A 7,498-nucleotide genomic window follows, 5' to 3' on the forward strand; every position below is an offset into this window, starting at 1 on the left:
CCCACCTCAGCCTTCCAAAGCACTGAGATCACGGGCATGAGCCACAGTGCCCAGTCGAGTGTACGGTCTTGATCCTCTGGTCTGTCCCACCTTGTCTTCTTTTGCTACAAGTAATTAGACAAAGTTCTAAGGTACAACAGGGATGCTGAGTCTAGTTTGTTTAAAGATATTATTCAGTTCCTATGAAAAGATCCATGAGTGTGTACGTTGGTTTTTAGTACAGCCTTGACAAGTTAATCCAGTGGAGAAACCTGCATGCAAATGTGATTTCTGATTATAGCCTTGGCTACTTATGCAGTTTTTGGTGTTACTGAATTTTTTTAAACAACTTTCCAATTTCACAGGCTTACCCAAGGGTATGATCAATGAAAACCACAGCTTCTTTGTTAGTTGTAAAGGACTCAGAAGTCAGTGACGGCTGTTATTGACTCACTCATAAACAGCACATTAAGGAAAAGGAAGTTGAACAGTCATCTACAGTTGTAAAAGGAGCACAAATCGTCTCTGTTTAACTTTTTTTTCTTTTTATATGTGGCCCGTCTAACAATTCTATCATGATCATCATCAATCATTATCATCCTCCTCAACAAAGCTCTAATTTTATTTAGTTTCAGAAAAATTTAAGCTGATGGCAGTTCAATCCCTTTGAATATCTGTGATTGAGATATTGTTCTTTAATTGTGAAGCCTCCTTTAGATTAATATTAATAAAATATTTATATAAATTTTGATGATTTTATAAATGTAGTCTTGACAGAATGATATGATCTCAATCACAGAATAGTATTTGTGAGAAACCAATGCTACCTCATTCGGTAACTTGAACTTATATAGTTATTGGCTGTTTAGTTTTTCTTCTTCATGATAAAACAAAACATAGTAATCAGATTTACAAACCTAGTAATCAGATTACGAGATTATTCAACTCAAATATATACAATATAATTGTACTACAAGAGCTGTTTGTACAAACATTTTCACTAACATCACCAGAAGTGAGAAATATGTATAGTAATGTATATTTTTTATTAGATAGTTTAATTCCAGCCGTATCAAGCCGTTTCCATAATCTGACATACTAGCTAAGGAAAAATAATGAGGCCACTCAAAACTCTCTTTTTCTAGTTGTCTCAGTAGCTTCGATGTGATAAGCATGAAAAAACATGAATTGCTAAACCAAATTTTAAAAAAATTTCTGAAACTATATAACACTCCTGAGAGGGCTGCAGATTTGTTAGTGGGTTGTTTTTCAGTCTGAAAAAAAATGATTAAATATTTCTGCTGGAATGGAACATTTCAGTCATAACAAAATATAAACTCTAAGGAAGCTAATACTAGTATTGTTTGTTAAAATCCTTTTGTATTCTTTGCTTTTCATGGAGGGAGAGAGTTAAGTTACAAGGGAATGGTGAACCACAACAAATGAAAAGTTGTGAGTAGTGTACCTTTGCATTGCTGTATTTCAAAAGGTTTGCCAAAAAAAAAAAATGAAAAAGAATGTCAATTATTTTTCTCTAAAATTGTGCCTAATTATGTTATATGATATTAAATTAACTGTTTAAAGAGAATACATAGTATGCAAAATACTTCACACTTCACACATATAATTTTTAATTGAATTGTTAAAAAAATAAGCACAATTGCCTCTGTTTCACCAATGATTAAATTAAGATGACCATAATCTATGGAAGCTGCCCAAAGAAAAACAGTAATGGAGTCAGATATAAATGAATCAGACTCCAAATCCCAATCACTTTTTCATAAAGTGTTTAGTAAGTATTTTTATCTAAAATGTAAGTGTGTGGCTATAAAAATGCCAATTATATAATAATTTGATTCTTGTTTCTATTTATTTGAAACCTAATTAGTGTATTTCCACAATATATAACATAATGCTAAAAAAGAAATTTGGTATTTTCAGTTTCCTTTAAATTTTCTGAACTGATTTTATTTTATAAACGATTTGCATTTACCAAAATGTTATAAACTCAGTAATTATGTTTTGGTTCAGTGTTTTTTACCTGCCATCTACATTACATAAAAATCATTTCTGTAAAAGGAAGCAGATTTTAATGAGCAAGCTACACAGAAATTTTCATCTCACACTTAACAATGGATATTATTGTTCTTATAATTTGCACTTCTCAGTCATAAGACATCCCTCTGTGGTTGTCATAATTGGTCTAATGAATTTCTTAAAATAAATGAAAGTCTAATTTGATCCGGTGCCCATGAACAATCCACTCATTCAAATCTAAATCACTGACCTGATTTGAAGACGAATCATGCCAAAATGAAGTCATGCTTTCCTATTAAGTGTGTTGCCTCAGTGCAAGCTTTTGAATGGCTTGTTCTTAAGGTTTGAAGTGGGGATTTCCAGTGACAAAGAAACACAATTTGATCTCATAACCCTAGACACCCAGACTTATTTTAAATGATAGAGACTTAAGATTGAGAGAAAATCTGAGTCATCATCCAGTTCAGTATTTTTCACTTAGTGGGAAATGTACTGGTCACCTTGGGTTTGAACAGTTTAGCAACATTGCAGGATCTTCTACAGATGCATACATAAGCATTTGAACAAATTCTCTAGGTAGGCAAAGATCATTGCAGCCGAATGTCTAATGATCTTTATCGCAGAGTTATCTATCCAATGTTCCAGGGTAAATGTTCTATTATTAACATTCCTGAGGAAATACATTCATGGATATATATGTTTATTATATTATTTAACTACTATTTCAAATCTATATCAAGACTGGTCTTAACATTTCTAAAATAGGTAACTATATCAACATCATAAAAAATGCTGCCACATTTTTTTCGAGAAAGAAATACTCTCTATACATATTGTTAAACCTTTCTGCATTAGAACTAAAGACCGTGAAAAGAAGAACAGTTTTTATTGTGTTAAGACACTGATTGCTGGTTAGGAAAGAATGCGTGTGTGTGTGTGTGTGTTTGTGTGTGTGTGTGTCAGAGAGACAGAGAGAGAGAAAAGCAGGGGAAGCTTGTAATGCATAATCAAATACTAAGGTTATGAGAGATTTATCCCAGATTATCTATAATTTTCATTGGTCCCTGAATGGTGGAGGAAAGGTAAAAATATCTTTAATTCCAGATTTCATCTTTGGCCACCAACAAAGGGGCATCACTTAATCCTATTGGTTTTAAATACCAATGAACTAGTGTAAAAGATAAGGATTCGTAAATTATTTCACTCATTCATTGAACTAGAAAATGAACTAGAAAAGAAAATTGAAAAGAGAATGCAGAATGGCACTTACTCAAATAGTTTTGATGATTTCTGCTTCACTGGCTGATTTTGTAGTGGGTGGCTGGAAATTACAGTGGGATCTTTAAATAAGTTTAGAGTCATATCTCTGACTTACCCTGAGTAATTTTTGACCCAGTAAAGCTGTTTTTTTTGGTAGGCTTAAAAATTCCACTGAGATTCTTCAGTCACCCACTCAACCACTTCCAAATGAATCTGAAAAACAGAAATCATCAAAACCAGTAGAATAAATGCTGCTCTGTTTTAAATTTTCTTTTCCAGTTCTCATTCACTGAGATGAGAGTAAACATTGAATAAAACTTCATGTTAAAATGTCCATACTATCTAAAACAGGGTATAGATTCAATAACATCCCTATGAAAATCCCAATGGCAAGTTTTTACAAAAATTGAAAACAATTATAAAATTCATATGGAACCACAAATGACCCTGAGTAACCATAGCAATCTTGTGAAAGAAGAACAAAGATGAAGGCATAACACTAGCGGGTTTCAAAATACATTACAAAGCTACAATAATTAAAACAGCATAATAGTAGCATAAAGCAGACAGATACACCAATGAAATAGAATAGAGAGTACACAAATAAATCCATACATATATTGTTATGTACTGTCACATATACTTGAATTTTGACAAGTGGAACAAAAATACAAAATGGGAAACAGATAATCTCTTCAACACATGGTATTGGAAAAACTGAATAACCTCATGCAAACAATGAAATTGGATCCTTATCTTACACTATACAAAAAACATCAACTCCACATGGATTAAATTTTGTAATGTAAGACCTGAAACTGTAAAACTCCTAGAAAAAATATAGAAAAAACACTTTATGATATTGGTGTTGGCAATGATTTCTTGAATGTAATAGCAAAAGCACAGGCAACCAAAACAAACATAGACAAGCAGAACTACATTAAAATAAAAAGCTTGTGCACAGCAAAGGAACCAATCAACAGAGTGACAAGACAACATATGAACTCAGGGAAAATGTATGTTTTTCCAAACCATGTATCTGTTAGATGTTAATATGTAAAATATATGAACTACAATGCAATAATTTAAAAAAAGTAGATTAAGCCATAGGCAAAGGACTTGAATAGACATTTAGCCAAAAAAAAAAAACCATACAAATAGCCAACAGGTATATGAAAAATATGATAATCATCATCACTAATCAGCAGGGCAATGAAAATCAAAACCACAATATTTTCACCTCAAAACCGTTAAGATGGCTATTATTTTTAAAAAATGCATTGATAAGGATATAGAGAAGTTGGAACATTTCTGTACTGTTGGTGGGAATATAAAATGGTGCAACTGCTGCAGAAAACATTAAGAAGGTCTCTCAAAAAAATAAAAATAGAACTACCATGTGATCCAGCATTCCCAGTTTGGGGTATATATAATAATTAAAACCAAGATCTTGAATAAGTATCTCCACTCCCCTGTTCACTGTAGCATTATTCACATGAGCCAAGATATAAAAACAACCTAAATCTCCATCAATAGATAAATGGATAAAGAAAATGTGTCTGCATGTGCAATGGAATATTATACAGACTTACAAAAAAAGAAATCCTGTTATAGGTGACAAAATGGATTAACCTGAAGGACATTATGCTAAGTGAAACAAGCCAGTCACAGAAGGACAAATGCTGCTTGACTCCATTTATACGAAATATCTAAAATCATCAAACTCAGAAACAGAGCAGAATAGTGGTTATCAAGGACTGTGGAGAAAGGAAATGAGAGGTTGCTACTTAATGTGTACCAAGTTTCAATTATGCAAGATAAATAAGACCTAGAGATCTACTGCATAACATCGTGCTTATAGTTAACAATACTATACTATGCATTCGAAAAGTTGACAGTATGTCTTAACACAATATAGACAAACAAAATATTTTCTTTGGCAGATTCACATTTTATTATTTGATTTTAATTGAAATATCTTAATTTCAAATATTTTATTAAGTGCTTTGTTTGTGTCAAAAAACTTTCTTTCTTTTTTTTTTTTTTTTTTTTTTTTTTTTGAGATGGAGTCTGGCTCTGTTGCCCAGGCTGGAGTGCTGTGGCGCGATCTCGGCTCACTGCAAGCTCTGCCTCCCGGGTTCATGCCATTCTCCTGCCTCAGCCTCCCGGGTAGCTGGGACTACAGGCGCCCACCACCACGCCTGGCTAATTTTTTTGTATTTTTAGTAGAGATGGGTTTTCACAGTGTTAGCCAGGATGGTCTCAATCTTCTGACCTTGTGATCCGCCCGCCTCGGCCTCCCAAAGTGCTGGGATTACAGGCGTGAGCCACCGCACCAGGCTAAAATCTTTCTTAATAGAGACAGAAAGATGCTGTGTAACATCCATTGATTATTCCTAATAGGTAAATTAATGACTTTTAAAAATGATTTACACTATTTAAGCAGTAAAAATACTGGCCAAAATTTTTATAATTTTGCATACTTTTTTCTTTTTAATTCAATAAGTATTTAAAATTAGCTTCTGCATGTAGAAACAAAACACAAATTATTCTTAAAAACAATCATCTAACAAGCAAATCTCCATTTTTATTTAAATTGAGGCTTCTTCTTTAATAACAAAAAAAAGAGTGCACCGTGGTTGAAAAGTATACAATTCTTTTTTTTTTTTTTTTTTTTTTTTGAGACGGAGTCTCGCTCTGTCGCCCAGGCTGGAGTGCAGTGGCGCGATCTCGGCTCACTGCAAGCTCCGCCTCCCGGGTTCACGCCATTCTCCTGCCTCAGCCTCCCAAGTAGCTGGGACTACAGGCGCCCGCCACTACGCCCGGCTAATTTTTTGTATTTTTAGTAGAGACGGGGTTTCACCGTTTTAGCCGGGATGGTCTCGATCTCCTGACCTCGTGATCCGCCCGCCTCGGCCTCCCAAAGTGCTGGGATTACAGGCGTGAGCCACCGCGCCCGGCCTACAATTCTTTAGCGATATAGTGAAACCTTAATAAATGTTCAGGTTTCTTTCCAACAAATCAACAAATACAAGTATAAAGGCATTCAAGAAATATAGCTCATCATGTACATTGACTTCAATCACTTCATTTTTATGAAGCAAAGTTAACCTAGCTAACTAGTCTTTTATATACCGTGAATACTTAATATTAATTATTCAAAGATATTTCATTTAAATCACTGTTAACAAATTGAGATTAAGTCAGGCTGTCCATTTTAAAAACAGTAACTGCTGTAATAAAATATTAATCTGAGTTGGAGACTCCAAGAGGACAAAGAACATTAGAATATATACAAGTGATTTAAAAGTAACAAGCATGCATTTGTTCCTCAGCACATCTGTACTTTGAAGCTTCTACTCAGTATTGTGTGGAACTAAAACATGCTTTCCACTTATAAATGGAATAGGAGACCTGACACAATCCTTATACACGTTTTAGCCTGGAAATGTGCTAGTTTCATGTTTTCCATTTCCTCTGACCTTTTCCCTTCCATCAGAACTATAAATGGTGAACAGTATGCTTATTTGTATTTGTTTTACTGTTTGAGGCTTTTTGATTTTCAAGGAAACTCATTTTGTGCATAACTTTTTAAGGCAAAATTAAGGAATATGTTTTGATGAGACAAGGAAGGTATAATTAAATAAATGAGTTTAATTAAGGGATTTTAGGATTTCAAAATCAAGAAGAGAAGAAAGTAGGAGAACATAAAAATAATAAATAAATCAGCAAATAAAAATTCCCAGACACTTCTTTGAGAGTGTTTACATATTTCAGTGAAAGTAGGTAAAACATAAATATAGTATTTAGAAAAATTAATATATTTATGCAAGTAAATAAAAACCAATTTATTTTTAAACATTTCAAGATAAGGAAAGCACAATATACAGAATTTCAAGTTATTTAGCGACAATAACTGCAATTATTTAGAGACAATAACAATGCAAGTTATTTAGAGAGATTTTCAACGCAATAGCAAGACATTATGTTAATATCTGTTTGGGAAGTACATTTTCAGAAGACTATTAAAATAATATTACTAGAATTTTGCTATAAATGACAACACTAAATAAGAAAATTGAAAGTAATTTGTGTTAATTAGCTCTATAATATCCATTCAATGATATGTATAATTTCAAATAATAATGAAATAACATTATACTATAGTGTTATATAAAAACATAAGGTTTTCTAATATATAGCATTCAACTCATGGGGGTGT

Source organism: Homo sapiens, chromosome 13 (assembly GCF_000001405.40).
Source record: "Homo sapiens chromosome 13, GRCh38.p14 Primary Assembly".
NCBI lineage: Eukaryota > Metazoa > Chordata > Mammalia > Primates > Hominidae > Homo > Homo sapiens.